At 56.5% G+C, this 14,222-nt stretch overlaps 1 protein-coding gene and 1 long non-coding RNA gene across 7 annotated transcripts, besides 6 other annotated features; one reads left to right on the plus strand and one right to left on the minus strand.

Annotated features, from left to right (window-relative positions):
- Positions 265 to 11,275, plus strand: PELI3 (pellino E3 ubiquitin protein ligase family member 3). Of its 6 annotated transcripts, none has more exons than NM_145065.3 (8): positions 843 to 965; positions 2,066 to 2,218; positions 2,771 to 2,842; positions 5,180 to 5,309; positions 6,307 to 6,408; positions 7,179 to 7,373; positions 7,675 to 7,863; positions 9,536 to 11,275. In NM_145065.3, the coding sequence occupies exons 2-8, from the start codon at positions 2,067 to 2,069 to the stop codon at positions 10,103 to 10,105; spliced, it is 1,410 nt and encodes a 469-aa protein (NP_659502.2). In that variant the 5' UTR covers positions 843 to 965; position 2,066; the 3' UTR covers positions 10,106 to 11,275. The 6 variants fall into 6 exon arrangements, with proteins under 6 accessions (NP_001230064.1, NP_659502.2, NP_001091980.1 ...); XM_011544884.3 differs by lacking the exon at positions 843 to 965 and adding an exon at positions 1,335 to 1,496; NM_001243135.2 differs by lacking the exons at positions 843 to 965; positions 2,771 to 2,842 and adding an exon at positions 265 to 383 and having other exon boundaries at positions 2,066 to 2,207; positions 5,286 to 5,309.
- Positions 761 to 970: a silencer, noted in NCBI's record as "silent region_3593". NCBI's record gives its function as "represses an Ori minimal core promoter by ATAC-STARR-seq in GM12878 lymphoblastoid cells {active_cell/tissue: GM12878}" and the evidence as "EXISTENCE:reporter gene assay evidence [ECO:0000049][PMID:35858748]".
- Positions 981 to 1,330: a silencer, noted in NCBI's record as "silent region_3594". NCBI's record gives its function as "represses an Ori minimal core promoter by ATAC-STARR-seq in GM12878 lymphoblastoid cells {active_cell/tissue: GM12878}" and the evidence as "EXISTENCE:reporter gene assay evidence [ECO:0000049][PMID:35858748]".
- DPP3-DT (DPP3 divergent transcript) lies at positions 7,428 to 14,187 on the minus strand. Its single transcript, NR_120586.1, has 4 exons — positions 13,977 to 14,187; positions 8,868 to 9,042; positions 8,082 to 8,163; positions 7,428 to 7,805 (listed from the first exon to the last, which is right to left on the minus strand). It is a non-coding gene; the product is annotated as a DPP3 divergent transcript (long non-coding RNA).
- Positions 10,208 to 11,028: an enhancer, noted in NCBI's record as "H3K27ac-H3K4me1 hESC enhancer chr11:66243741-66244561 (GRCh37/hg19 assembly coordinates)". NCBI's record gives its function as "activates a minimal SCP1, AML or CMV promoter by ChIP-STARR-seq in primed H9 embryonic stem cells {active_cell/tissue: H9 hESC(primed)}" and the evidence as "EXISTENCE:reporter gene assay evidence [ECO:0000049][PMID:30033119]".
- Positions 11,666 to 12,259: an enhancer, noted in NCBI's record as "H3K4me1 hESC enhancer chr11:66245199-66245792 (GRCh37/hg19 assembly coordinates)". NCBI's record gives its function as "activates a minimal SCP1, AML or CMV promoter by ChIP-STARR-seq in naive H9 embryonic stem cells {active_cell/tissue: H9 hESC(naive)}" and the evidence as "EXISTENCE:reporter gene assay evidence [ECO:0000049][PMID:30033119]".
- Positions 13,198 to 13,765: an enhancer, noted in NCBI's record as "H3K27ac hESC enhancer chr11:66246731-66247298 (GRCh37/hg19 assembly coordinates)". NCBI's record gives its function as "activates a minimal SCP1, AML or CMV promoter by ChIP-STARR-seq in primed H9 embryonic stem cells {active_cell/tissue: H9 hESC(primed)}" and the evidence as "EXISTENCE:reporter gene assay evidence [ECO:0000049][PMID:30033119]".
- Positions 14,152 to 14,201: a silencer, noted in NCBI's record as "silent region_3595". NCBI's record gives its function as "represses an Ori minimal core promoter by ATAC-STARR-seq in GM12878 lymphoblastoid cells {active_cell/tissue: GM12878}" and the evidence as "EXISTENCE:reporter gene assay evidence [ECO:0000049][PMID:35858748]".

Genomic DNA, 14,222 nt, shown 5'->3' on the forward strand with positions numbered 1-14,222 from the left:
CTTTTGTAAATCTATTTCCTCATCTGTAAAATGGGCAACTATCGTGCCTGCCTCCCAGGATTAAAGTAAAGGGTTTAATTTGCTCAAAGCACAGCGCACAGCGCCTAACGTAGACTGATAGATCTCTCGCAAGCCCCAGGCCCAGAAGGGGCGGTGCTCCCCCAAAACTCTCTTTCCTTTGCAGCACAGCGGGGGGTGTGTGCATCCTGGCGGAGGGGAGGGGACTGAGGGGAGGGGAATGGGGGGTGCCCGAGCTGGGCTGGAAGACAGGTCTGCGACTCTGGTCAACTGCAGCTGCTTTCCCCGGCCTCCACCGCTGCCGCACACCCCCTTTGCCTTTAGCATTTTCCTCCTCTCCTCTAATTGCGTGGCGTCCCCAGATGGTAGGCGGGGTGTCGGAGCTGGGGGTGCGTAGTCCCGGGCCTAAGGCTAGGGAAGGGGCCTCCAGCGCCGTGTGAGGGCCCTGACCGACAGTGGGGAGGGGCGCCCATGTCTCTGGGAGAACCCCGGAGTCCCCGGAAATGGAGGCGGAGTTTGGGGAGTCTGAAATGGGGGAGGGGTCGTGTAGACTACGGGGGAGTCCTGAGCCGGCTAGGAGGGGCAAGGGAGTCCCTCAGACGGAGTGGAGAGCGGGGCTTCCCTGGTCAGAGGGCGGTACCAGGGGAAGGGCGTGGTCTCCTGCGAAGGGGCGGAGCTCCGCCTACGAAGGCTGAGCATCGCCGCAAGAGGCGGAGTCTGGAGCGAGGCGGAGCTCTCCTAGGGGCGGGGAAAATGGGGCGGGGCCTCCGGACAGGGGGCGGAGCGTGGCTGTTCGCGCTCATCCCCCTCCCCCGGCCCTGGGTGTCCCCGTGACGAGGCAGCGCGGAGCCGCCGCGGGCCGGGCCCATCCCGCCGCAGCGGCCCGGGGCCGAGCAGGGGCTAGGCGGGGAGGGAGCGGCGCCCAGCGGGGCCCGGAGCGTGGCCAGGTGAGGCCGCCGGGGCGGAGGGGGCGGGGGCTGCGCCAGGCGGGCCCCGGCGGGCGCGGGGGGCGTGTTTGCGTGTCTGGGGGTGGTGGAGGGAGTGGGTCCGAGGGCGGGCGCCGGTGGCTGCTGCGCGCCCGCGCGTCCCTGCGGTCGCGGGTGCGGGTGGTCTCTGCGCCGTCCGGGCCCGGGGCGTGCGGGGCCGTGCACGCGCGCGTGTTGTGCGGAGGGGCCGCCGGGTGTGGACCTGCGTAGGTGCTGGGCCGCGGTTCCCGTTCTGCCCGCCCGGGGCGCAGGGCGCGGGCCTGCCCCGGCGCGGTCCCTCTGGCGCGGGGATGTTTTCCAAACGGGCTGCCTGCGGGAGACGGCTGTGCTGCAGCCCGAGCTCGAGGGGGGAGCGCCGCCTCCGCAGGCCTCCTGAGACCCGGGCGGCTGGGGACGCAGACAGACACCTGAGGGAGGGAAGAGCGCGCACCCAGGAGGAGTCTATTGGCCTACCCGCAGGGGGAGGCCGAGATGGGGAGACTGAGGCAGATGGTGAGGCGGAGGCGGGCAGACAGGCAGAGATGGGGAATGGGGGGAGAGAGACGGCAAAAAGGACAGCGGCTGGGAGGACAGAGAGTCATTGAGAAAGCAGATGGACAGACAGAGGCCTAGACCTCAAAGGGGCAAGAAAGATTCAGATGGACAGGTAGATTCAAAGAACCTGTCAGAGAGGCTAAATCAGAGGTCCAGAGGCTAAGAGCTATAAGCAGGAACTGAGTCTGAGATGAGGGGTAACGGCCCCCAACTCATTGGGTGCCCCGCTTTGAAGCACATCCCAGACTGGGATCTTGGCCAAAAAGCAGCCTCTGGCCACCCCAAGTTGGTCCATCTCTTTGGCACCACTGAATATCCTGACTCTCTTCACTGTGCCACCCCTCCCTGGTATCCCAGCAACCTCGGGCAGTTTAGAGGAGGCAGAGGGGAAGTGGTTGCCATAGCAGTAGAGGCGGTGAAAGGTCACCCTTGCCTTAGCCTAGGCGGCCCTGCAGCAGGCTGCAGCTGGAATTGAGCCGGGCTGGGGTGGGAACCTACAAAGCTCTTTTCTCTCCCACTCTGCCCAGAATGGTGCTGGAAGGAAACCCTGAAGTGGGGTCCCCCCGAACCTCAGACCTCCAGCACCGGGGGAACAAGGGCTCTTGCGTTCTCTCCTCTCCCGGTGAAGATGCGCAGCCAGGCGAGGAGCCCATCAAGTATGGTGAACTCATCGTCCTGGGGTGAGCATCCCTGGCCTAGAAGGGGTGAAGCACCAGACACCCACCCAACGCAGCCAGAACAAGGGCCCGACCCCTCCTCCCCCCACATAGGGCCTTCAGCTGTTTGTCCCTCCTCACCTTCCTAGCTGAAAGACAAAATTGACCAAACCCACCTCAATTCATAATTATTATTTTATCTTCCCATTTTTCACAAAGTACTGTGACAACTCTAACCACCCAACTTCCTGATCAGATGAGAAAAATGTTAACACCAGCTGCCTTTCCTAAAGCACCTAGTGTGTGTGGTGTGGGGTGAAGAACTCTGGTTCTCCAGCAAAACTGCTTGGTTCAAATCCTGCCTCTGCAAGTTGCTGAACTTCCCTGTGCCTCTGTTTCCCCTGTTTTGCAAATGGGGATGATAATAATCCCTTCCTCAGAGGGTTGTTGGAAGAAATGAATGAGGTGATTTCTGTAAAGTACATAGAACAGCGCCTAGCACATATCGAGTGTTCTGGGAGGCAGGCCTGTGCCAAGCCCTTTCATGGACATTATTTCATTTCAATCTTCACAAAGATGCTGTGAGGAAGGAGGTGAGGAAACCGAGGCTCAGAGAGGGGAAGTGACTGGCCCAAGGGCACACAGCTGGTAAGTGGCAGGGCTGGGATTTGGACCCAGGTCTTTCTTACTCTAGGTCTAGTGCGCTTTCACTAAGCCACAGCTGACCCTCACACTACAGATGAGAAAGCCAAGGCCAGGAGAGAGGAAGCAACGTGATCTGGCGGCCTGGCCAACCTCATCCCTTCCTGGTCTTTGCCTGACCAGGATCCCTGCACCATCCACTCAGATCTTTCCCCAGGGACAGACCCTCTTCCTCCTCCCCCATCTGGATCTCCTTTTGGCCTCTCTTTGCCATCAGTCCTAAAGAAACTATTTGATAAGCTATATTATCATTAAGATTTTTTTTTAATGGCTGTTTGTTGACACATGCTTTAAAAAAAAAAAAAGCAGTAATAGTGAACACTTATCAAGGGCTTCCTATAAATATGCCAAACTCTGTGCCAAGCGCTTTTAAATGCTTTGTCTCATTTAGTTCTCAAAATGAACCTGCGAGGTAGGTCCTAAAAAATTAGCTCCATTTTACAGAGGTCATGTGATAAGTGGAAGAGCCAGATTTAAGCCAGGCCCATCTGTGTCCCAAGCCTGTGTCCTGAACTGTCCCACCTCAAGACCTGCCCCCCATGTGTGAGAAGAGCTCACAAGGGCAAAAGTGATGTCTCCCTTGGGAGAAGCTGCCTTGGAAAAGCAGCTGCTTCATATCCCAAAGGCAGGACTGGCTTTCCAGCCCAAGGCAAGGCCACTAATGTGGGAGGCTGCAGACCCATGGGTATGGACCCTCCTGTCAGCCCCCTTGGGGAGCAGAGTCCACACTGGCTGCATATCAGAGCTGGCTGGAGGGCACTGAAAATACACATTGACAGGCCCTCTCCAAGCCTACAGAATCACAGTCGCAGTGGGTGGGACCAGGGAATCTGTTTTTTTTTTTTGTTTTTTTTTTTTTGAGACAGAGTCTTGCTCTGTCACCCAGGCTGGAGTACAGTGGCACGATATCAGTTCACTGCAACCTCCACCTCCTGGGTTCAAGTGATTTTCCTGCCTCAGCCTCCTGAGTAGCTGGGATTACAGGCACCCACCAGCATGCCTGGCTAGTTTTTGTATTTTCAGTAGAGACAGGGTTTTATTATGTTGGCCAGGCTGGTCTTGAACTCCTGACCTCAAGTGATCTGCCTGCCTCGGTCTCCCAAAGTGCTGGGATTACAGGTGTGAGCCACTGCGCCCGGCCTCATCTGGATTTTAACAAACTCACTAGAAGATTCTGATTCAAGTGGCCTTGTCTGTATTTGGCAGCTCTTTGTCCTGTCACTTCCTGTTCCCAGACCTTCCTGGCACCCCACTGGTTGTTGAATAATGTCCTCAGCCTGGAGTTCAGAGCCCTCCCACCAGTGTCATCTCCCCCACATACTTCACCACCAAAGCCACCATTCCCTGATCTCATCAGACCCTGCCAGCCTTGGGCCCTTTGCTTAGGGTGAGCCTCCATCTAGAGGGGCTTCTGGAGTCAGAGAGACTGGGCTCAAATCTGGACATTTTCACCTACTAGCCAGAGGCAAGTCACATTACCTCCCTGAGCCTTGATTTCTCTCATTTGTAAGATGGGCAGAAAGCCACTTGCCTGGCAGGCCACTGCACAGATTCCATTAGGTGATTGATAACATGAAGGCCAGGAACACAGAGGCAGCAGCCCATGGCAGCGATGAGAGCTATGCCTCACCTCCTCTGTGCCTCTCACAGCCATGCCCTCCAGACAAGAGCTGGAAAGGCAGGTGGAAATTTGACATGTATGGACATATGGAGGTACTGGCATTGTGTGTCATTTTTTCCTTCCATTTTGGTTTTGAGTAGTGGTGTGATAAGTGACAGCTTACTACAGGTGAACCCTTTCTAGTTCTTCAAAACCCAGTAGAGGTGTTCCCTCTCCCAGAAACCTGATCCTAGGGCGAGAATTCCCTTTTCTTCCTCTAGGCTTATGGCATCCTTGGCTTGTGCCTGGGTGTGGCAGGTGGCACCTAGGTTCCTGGAGAAGCTGAGGAACCCCTCCACTGAGGGCCCACAACTGACCCGTGGTGCATCACCTCTACCGCCCCAGTGCACAGCACCCATCCAGGCATGGCTCAAGTGTCCAGGAAATACTTGGTTAACTGAATGAAAGTGCTTTTGAAACTGCTCTGACACCCCCCTCCCACTCCCCAAGGTACCAATTTGTTATTGTAGGGTCTTCTAGTTTCAGGTGCTTGTAGAGCTTGTTTATTAAGGTAGGATCTGCCTAGAAGTTGGCAGTTTCCTCCAAGTCTCATCAGGGGTTCACTTTCTCTCTTTCTCTCTCTCCTCTTGCAACCCCTTCTTCTTAACCCCCGACATCTACAGCTACAATGGTTGTCTGGCAAGTGGGGACAAGGGCCGCCGGCGAAGCCGCCTGGCACTGAGCCGCCGGTCGCACGCCAACGGGGTGAAGCCAGACGTCATGCACCACATCTCCACGCCGCTCGTCTCCAAGGCAAGCAACTGACCCATAGACCTGAGGTCCTGCCCTCCCTGCCCAAGGCCCAGGTCTTCGGCCTTCCAGGTCCTACCTGCCCACAGCCCCCACACCTTAACAGGGGAGCCCACTTTGTGTCATCACTCACTGCTTATTGGGCCATCCGAGAATGGTGATGAAAAATCCTTTGCAGTGTGCGCAGTTCTTTACAGTTTGCAAAATGTTGCCTTAACCACTGGACCTCTCTGAACCTTGGCTGCCTCTAAGATGGTGCTGCTTATTTCCATCCAATGGAAATGGAAATGGGTGGAAATGAGCTGCACCATTTTAGAGGCAGCCAAGGTTCAGAGAGTGGGAGGTGACAGTCATACTGCAATGATAAAGGAAAAACCTTTGACTTTAGAGGATTTGGGTTAGAATTCAGCCTCTGATATTTCCAGCTGTGTGCCTTTAGGCCAGTTTCTCTCTGACCTGCAGTTTCTTCAACTCTAAAATGGAACAATAACCCCATTCTTTTTATTTTTGAAACGGAATCTCGTTCTGTCACCCAGGCTGGAGTACAGTGGTGCGATCTCAGCTCACTGCAAGCTCTGCCTCCCGGGTTCAAGCCATTCTCCTGCCTCAGCCTCCCGAGTAGCTGGGACTACAGGCGTGTACCACCACACCCAGCTAATTTTTTTTTTTTTTTTTTTGTATTTTTAGTAGAGACGGGATTTCACTATGTTGGCCAGGCCAGTCTTGAACTCCTGACCTCAAGTGATCCGCCCACCTCAGCCTCCCAAAATGCTGGGATTACAGGCGTGAGCCACCGCACCCAGCCTGATAACCCCATCCTTAGGGTGACTGTAGGGCTTAAATCATGTGAAACATCTGCTGCACTGTCCACCCTCTGAGAAGGATGGAGCTGCCCCCTTCCCAGGGAGTGGCTGCTGGGCCTTGAGCTCCAGGTGCTTGCTCAAGGCATACACTTATCATGGCTGCACACCCTGGCAAGTGACTTTTTTCTCCCCACCAGGCACTGAGTAACCGTGGTCAGCACAGCATCTCGTATACACTGTCCCGGAGCCACTCGGTCATAGTGGAGTATACACATGATAGCGACACAGACATGTTCCAGGTATGCTCAGGCCTCTCCACACACCTCCTGGCCACCAGGCCTCTAGGCTCTGCAAGCATTTCAGGTGAGGCTACGGGTTGGGAGGCCATGGGAAAGCTGCTTCTCTCCAGACGAGGAAGCAGGATGTCCCGGTGTGGGCTGTTGACTGCAGAGTCACACAGCAAGTCAGTGGCTATATCAAGGATCAAATTCAAGACTCCTAGACTGTGGGAGGTCACACAGCTCAGGAGTTCAGGTGTGAGAGGCCTAGTGCCTGGGTTCAGATTTTGGCTCCATCACTTACCACTGGGTGACTTTGGGGAAGCATCACTTAAGTTCTCTGGGCCTTGGTTTACTCATCTGTAAAATGAGGCCCATAATAGTACCCACCCCACGGGAAGATTAACTTAGGCATTGCATATAAAATGTTTAGCATGGTGGCTGGCATATAGCAAATAGTTACTTAGAAGTCACTATCTGCTGCTAACATTTGAGCACCCTCTTATAATTATATCAGCAAATCAACTTGTATTTATTGAATGGGGCGATCCCTAGTGCTGTGGGGGCAACAGAGAAGGAGAAGCTGCTCCAGGCCACGGCTTCTTGGACTTGGAGACCCCACCTGGGAGCCTAGAGGGCCTATGGAGTTGGTGCTGCCCCTTCTCCAGGGCCTGGCAGCCTCCTTTTTTGGTGACCTTGCATACAGAGCAGCTGCTGGTACTCTGGGAGGGAAGGCCCATGAGAGTCCCCTATGTACATACAGTCCCTGCTTGCTCTCCCTGTCCTCACAGATTGGCCGCTCCACAGAGAACATGATTGACTTCGTGGTAACAGACACGTCCCCTGGAGGAGGGGCTGCCGAGGGCCCTTCTGCCCAGAGCACCATCTCCCGCTATGCCTGCCGCATCCTCTGTGACCGCCGGCCACCCTATACTGCCCGCATCTATGCCGCTGGCTTCGATGCCTCTAGCAACATCTTCCTTGGAGTGAGTGAGCCCCAGGAAGGGACCAACTCTTCATCTGTGAGGCAAGGGGTAGGCTTGGGAGGTGCAGCATCTTGAGGTGATGAACCAGCCCACAGTAATCCAAATGGTGGTCCTGGCAGTTAGCAACCCCACCTAACTGATGAGCAAAGTGAGGCCCAGAGAGACGCTCAAGTCATGCAGCTTCAATGCCAGTCCTCTCTGGGCCGCCTCTGAACTTGAAGGTAGCGGGGGCAGTGCCTCTGGCACATGGCCTGCTGGGGGGCCCCTGGGGGATGTGATCTGATCCCTCATGTGGTCCCAGGAGCGAGCGGCCAAATGGCGGACCCCAGATGGCCTGATGGATGGACTGACCACCAATGGAGTCCTGGTGATGCACCCGGCAGGCGGCTTCTCCGAGGACTCAGCCCCGGGTGTCTGGCGGGAGATCTCGGTCTGTGGGAATGTGTACACATTGCGGGACAGCCGCTCAGCCCAGCAGCGGGGCAAGCTGGTAGGTGGCCCGCTCCATTCCCCACCCCTATCCTTGCCAGGCCCTCACAAGCTGCCCATCCCCCTGCCCAAGCCAGGAGATGATCTCCAGTCCTTCTGCCCCAGGGAGCCCCAACAGGCTCCATATCAGGGAATCCCAGGCCCAGGGGGTTCTTAGCATGAGCCACTTGTCCCACAGACAGGCAGACAGACCAGGGTCCCCAAGCATAGCATGCATACCACTGGAGGTCCAGGGGGTGATGCGATCAAGGCACACACAGACATACTGTGCAGTCCCAGGTGGCTTCAAGGCTGCTGGCAGCTTAAAAAAAATCACACCTTCTTATGAGAGTGACACTTGGCCCATGTGTGAGCAGTTTATAGCCTAAAGGGTTGGCAGTTTGTAGCATGTCTATCACGTTCAGACAGGTTTAGCACTGTTCTCCTCTCGCAGGAGGAAAGGGTCCTTACAGTAGTTCTGACACAGGTGTTAGTGGCAGCTCCTTGTGGTACAGATCAGAGAGCTGAGGTTAGGGACCGGGAGTGAGTCCTAGAGAGAGGCAGGGGCTGTCCAAGGTCACATGGCCGTGCTCCTCAAACTGGCCATGCACTGCTCTTCTCTGGCATGAGCACATTGGCCAAGGAGATGCAAAACCTCAGAGAAAAGCCTGGCTTTTCTTTCCAGAGCGTCAACTCTGTGGGGAGGTCTGGGGAAGCATTGTTTGTTAAAACAATGCATGTGAATGTTTCACAAGCCTACTCTTCTTGAGCACTATTTGCCACGCACTGTTCTAAGTTTTTAAACTGATTGATCCATTTATTTATTTATTTATTTATTTTTTTTGAGATGGAGTCTCACTCTATCCCCCAGGCTGGAGTGCAATGGCACAATCTTGGCTCACTGCAACCTCCGCCTCCTGGGTTCAAGTGATTCGCCTGCCTCAGCCTCCCACGTAGCTGGGACTACAAGCATGAGCCACCACACCTGGCTAACTTTTTGTATTTTTAGTAGAGATGGGGTTTCACCTTGTTGGCCAGGCTGGTCTGGAACTCCTGACCTCAGGTGATGCGCTCGTCTCGGCCTCCCAAAGTGCTGGGATTACAGGCGTGAGCCACCGCACCCGGCCTGATGGATTCATTTAATCTTCACAAGAACCACTTGAGATGCCAGAAGGTGCAGTCCATCTTGAGGATGAGGAAACTGAGATGGAGAGAGGTTAAGTTACTCGACAAGGGACACAGTTAGTCAACGGTGAGGCCAGAATTCAGCCTGGGCAGCCTAGCTCCTGAGTTTTTGCTTTTAACTGTAACTACTGGGACAGCTGCTTTGGGCTAAGTACCCAGCATTCCCCGTTAGCTTTGAGCTAAGTACCCAGCATTCCTCATTAGAGGCCTTTCCTGCCTCTGTCAGGAGGAGGGCACTTCAGAAAACATCTTATTTTAGAAAAACCCTGTCTGGGTCAGACTTCCTGATTAGACAGATGGGGAAACCAAGGCCCATGCCCCGTTGGGAGGGGGGATCAGCATGTGCCTGGGATGCACCTGCCTGCCCACTTGGCCTCCTAGCCTGCCTTGCTCCTCTGCCCTGCCTGCCCTGCCCGCCAGGGTGTCCTCTCCAGGGAGGCTCTGTGGGATGGACCCGCGGCTCAGCAGGGGCCTCTTGGGCAGTAAGGCCCTTCTACTGCCTCTGGCAGGTGGAAAACGAGTCCAACGTGCTGCAGGACGGCTCTCTCATCGACCTGTGTGGGGCCACACTGCTGTGGCGCACACCGGCGGGGCTGCTGCGGGCTCCCACACTGAAGCAACTGGAGGCCCAGCGGCAGGAGGCAAATGCAGCGCGGCCCCAGTGCCCCGTGGGCCTCAGCACTCTGGCCTTCCCCAGCCCAGCCCGTGGCCGCACAGCGCCCGACAAACAGCAGCCCTGGGTCTACGTCCGCTGCGGGCACGTCCATGGCTACCACGGCTGGGGCTGCCGGCGGGAGCGGGGCCCCCAGGAGCGCGAATGTCCTCTCTGCCGCCTTGTGGGGCCTTATGTGCCTCTATGGCTTGGCCAGGAGGCCGGCCTCTGCCTGGACCCTGGGCCGCCTAGCCATGCCTTTGCACCTTGCGGCCACGTCTGCTCTGAGAAGACTGCCCGCTACTGGGCCCAGACACCACTGCCCCACGGCACCCATGCTTTCCATGCCGCCTGCCCCTTTTGCGGGGCCTGGCTTACCGGCGAGCATGGCTGCGTCCGCCTCATTTTCCAGGGCCCGCTGGATTAGGCTCCCTGGGGCCCCCTGCTGCTGTGCCCACCTGCCCACCCAGGTCCCCACCTCCTGCAGCCCAGAGGGAGCTCTGCATGTGGGACACTCCCTGCTGGCACAGCCACACCAGATGGACATGTTGGATGGGCTGTGCCCTTCCCCCCAACTGTGGCCCCCCAAGGAGGTCCCCAAGATCTCCACCCCAGTCATGCTGATGGGGCCTTCAGCACCAGCTCTGTCCTGGGTCGATGGAGGAAAGCCCAGCCCCATGGCCTTGCCCTTCCTGGGGCATCCCACATCGTGCCGCCGACACTGTGTGCCCCTGGGGGAGTGAAGGGGCCAGGGGCCTTTGACCCCCAGCTTAGGCTGGCTATGCCCTGAGCCTGCCAACCCAGTTTCAGACACTCATCCTTCATCCTTCCTGCTGCCGCCCTGGGTTCCTCTATAAACCTCGCTGCTCAGCTGCCCCCACAAGTCCCACATGCCCCGCATGCGTGCAATGCCTCCAGCCCCCAAGTGAGTGGTGGGTGGGTGGCAGGCTGGGCCTAGCACTTGCTGATAGCCACTATGGGCTCGACTCTGTGCTAAGTGGTATCTGGGGACACAGAGGCAATCAGACCTGGTTCCCCCCCTGGTGGAGTTCACAGTCTAGTGGAGGACAGACTGTTAACAAATGGCAACACGGCTTCATGCGTGCCAGGATCAGAGTACAAATCAGGCTGTGGCAGGCCTCACTGGTAATGGAAAAGTGAGGGAGGCTTCACGGAGGAGGTGTCATAGGAGCTCAGCCTCAACGGCTGCTCGGAACCCTCCGAGTCCACAAGATGGGAAGCAAGTCCACAAGATGGGAAGCGTGCTCTATACAGAAGGGAGGGCCTGTGCACAGGCTCAGGTGTCAGTAAGCCAGAAATCCAGGGACAGAGTCAGGATGGCTGGAGCATGGACTGCGGGGGGAACAGAGAAGGGGGTGGAGCAAAAGGTTGGGACCATGTGACCAGGGAAGATGCTGGATGGAGGATTCTGAACCTCATTTGTGGACGGTCAGGAGTCAACAAAGGGAGGAGAGAGGACTCACTGGTCAAGAGTGTCGGCTGTGACACAAGGGCCATCATCCCTGAATGCCCACCATGTGCCCCGCACTGTGCTGATGATGATAATAATAACTACGTCCATTGAGCACTCTCCAGACACCGGGCTCTGCTTCTTGGAGGTTTTGTTATTTAATCCTCATAGTAACCCAAGAAGGGAGGTGTTGCCATTTTTGTCTCTGAGGAGATGAGGGCAGATGCACCAAGTCACACAACTAGAAAGTGGCCAAGCCAGGATTTGAATCCACAGCTGCTCCTCTCCATCACAGTGTTGCTTTCCTTCAACAGAGGTGGGGGTGAACCAAGCAGGGTTTTGGATACTAGATTGGTGGACACCCACCTGCTTCGTGCCCAGCCCTGCGCAGGGCCCCTGCAGTGGGCAAGGCCGGGCCTCTTGCAGCCCATGGTCTGCAGAGGGACCTACCCGTGCTTGTGTTGGAAGCTGGCCCCCACACCTGTGCTGGCCACCTGTACCCCAGGCCAGGATGCAGTGGGCTATTAGCCAGGCTGGAAGTGTTCAGAGGAGTGAGAACCAGGGGCTCTAGAAGGCCCAGGGAGGACCTGGAGCCTGAGCCAAGTCTTGAATGGCAGAGCATCTCCAGAGGCAGAGAGGAGTTGGGAGGGCAGCCCAGGTGAGGGGAACAGCATGGTGTGGCAGGGAACATGCCTGGTGTGGAGGGGGGCAGCAAAAAGGAATGGGGGGTAGGGAAGGTTGCTGGGGCCTGGTGGGCCTTGATTGCCATGGAAGCCAAGCCTGAACTGGATTCCTATTCATCCTGGCCACAGGTGGGCGTGTTGCTGGGGTTGCCCCAGACCATTCCTGCAGGGAGCGAGCCAGGAAGACAGGCAGACGGCTGTTCTGGAGATGAAGAGAAGAAGGCTCTGAGTATAGGCCTGACCTGGGCATCGTCCCCAATAGATGACAGAGCCTAGGGAAGTACAGATTCCAAGGGGAGGGATGGACCTGACCAAGGCCACACAGCTGGTTGCGGCCAGGGAGATCAGACCTGGGTTATTGAGAAGACAGAGGGCACCCGAATGTGATGAGAGAAGGAGGAGGGTGTGATCAGATTCTTGCTTCCAGAGCATGGCACTGCTGCAGTGGGGGTGAAGGGGAGGGTGGGGATGCTGCAGGAGGTGTGGGAGCATTCCAACTTCTCTCCCCTCAACATACACACAACACACAAAGCACTCAAAATCCAACTCTTCCAAGTTCTCTCTTCTGACCCTGTTGGGAACCAGGCAGGGGAACATTCTGATCCCATTTCCAGTGGGGAACCTCAGACCCTAGGAGGAAAGACCAGCAAAGGGCACCACAGTAGATGCTGGGGAGGATTCAGAGGTATTGGTGGAGGAGGTCAGAGCCCTGGTCTTGTCCCAGCTCTGCCTTTGCCAGCTGTTAGAGCCTCAGTTTCCTCAGTGCTAAAGGGGATAACAGTCACTACCTCGCCAGGTGGTTGTGAATATACAGAGAGCACCTGTAACACAGTTGATTCGTAACTGTTGCTCCTCACCGACCCCTTTTGCATTCCCATGGGGAAGAGCCAAGGCTGGGGAGTTATGACTCCAGTGATAGACTGCTCCATGTGAGTGACTGTGTGTGTGTATCTCTATGTTGGGGCCAGGGATATCTGAACTGTGTGGTGTTATAGGAGTCGGCGAACCTCTTAGCCTCAGTTTCCCTATCTGTACAATGGGTAAAGTGATCATACCTCAGGATTTTTGCAAGAATTAAATGAGGTCCTCCATGCCAAACTGCTAGCAAGGGACCTCAGTATATGCTCATCTTATCTGTGATCATAAAAATGTGATCACGTAGCTGGTTGGGGGGTCCTGAGAGCACTGGGGTCTTTTCCTTGCCTGAGCTGCCCCCTGCTGGCAGTGGGCAGCACTACCTCCCTTACCTGTGCACATTTCAACTTCACCTGTCAGCCAACTTTATACCCATTTTAAAGACAATGAAAACGGAGGCACAGGAAAGAAGAGGGGTGACTTTCCTAAGGACACCGACCAACTTGTTGAACTCCCCCATATAACAAGTAATCATCAAAGCTAACAGCTTGTAACACTGTTGTGTCAAGCAGGGCCTTGGGCACCTTTGTGGATGAGAAACTGGTGTCTATGGTAAGCAGAGGCTGTCTGGCCTAGACACGGGCGTAGCAAGGAGACCGTGCGGGATTTCAGTACCCAAACGCCCCTCACCCTGCGCAACTATAGGGAGCGGCACTGCAGTCAACACATCACAACTTACAATATCCCTTGGATTGGATTCAATTATTAGCCTGGTTTTCCGGTTCATAAAGCCAAGACTCCCAGACAACCTCACTCCACCCCCCAGTCTGACCCTGGGCCCTCACCACTACTCCCCATTTGGCCTAGGCCCTTCCGCATGCCCCACCCAGACCGTGGTCCCGTGAGTCCGTCCAGACCTGTAAAAGTGGACCGCGGGCCCGCCTCTGCTCTGGACTCCCTTTCGGGGCCGCAGGAGGCTTTCTCATCCATCAGGCATCTGGCAAGCACCAGGAAACTACCAGCCTGTTTGTGCTAAGGAAACTGAGGCTCGGGAATGTTTAGCGGCTCCTTCCAGGCCCGTGGCGGGTGGGTGGTGGTACAGTGAAGCAGTCGAGGCGTTTCTCCGCGCCCCTACACGGGTGGGACCACCTCAGCCCTGGCCCGATCCCACTCAACCGTAGCCCCGATTCCCGGCACCGAGAGCTTTGCAACTTCCAAGTCTCCACCCCCAGGTCCCGAGTCCCGAGAGGAAGGTGGAGCCACATTACTCCTATTGTGTAGGTTCCCACCTGCAAGAGTGCTGTCGGGTCCTCTGAGGTGAAACCCCAAAGGAAAGCGGGATCGGGACTGGGGGAGGGGGATTCCCAAGTCCCTGACACCCGCGCCGTCTCGGCCTGGGCTTGGTGACCTCGTCAGTCCCGTCTGCCGGGACTAGGCCGCGGCCAGGCCGGGCACAGCGGTACCCGGTCCGGCGCGTGTGCGGCCTGCTGACAAAAGGCCGAGCCCGCAGGGCCAATCCGCGCGCCACCCCGTAG

Source organism: Homo sapiens, chromosome 11 (genome assembly GCF_000001405.40).
Source record: "Homo sapiens chromosome 11, GRCh38.p14 Primary Assembly".
NCBI classification, from domain to species: domain Eukaryota; kingdom Metazoa; phylum Chordata; class Mammalia; order Primates; family Hominidae; genus Homo; species Homo sapiens.

Coding starts and splice junctions, on each gene's coding strand:
- PELI3 (NM_145065.3), top strand. CDS start 2,067: ATGGTGCTGGAAGGAAACCCTGAAGTGGGGTCCCCCCGAACCTCAGAC. Junction 2,219..2,770: donor GGTGAACTCATCGTCCTGGG/GTGAGCATCCCT, acceptor ATCTTCACAAAG/ATGCTGTGAGGAAGGAGGTG. Junction 5,310..6,306: donor CCACGCCGCTCGTCTCCAAG/GCAAGCAACTGA, acceptor TCTCCCCACCAG/GCACTGAGTAACCGTGGTCA.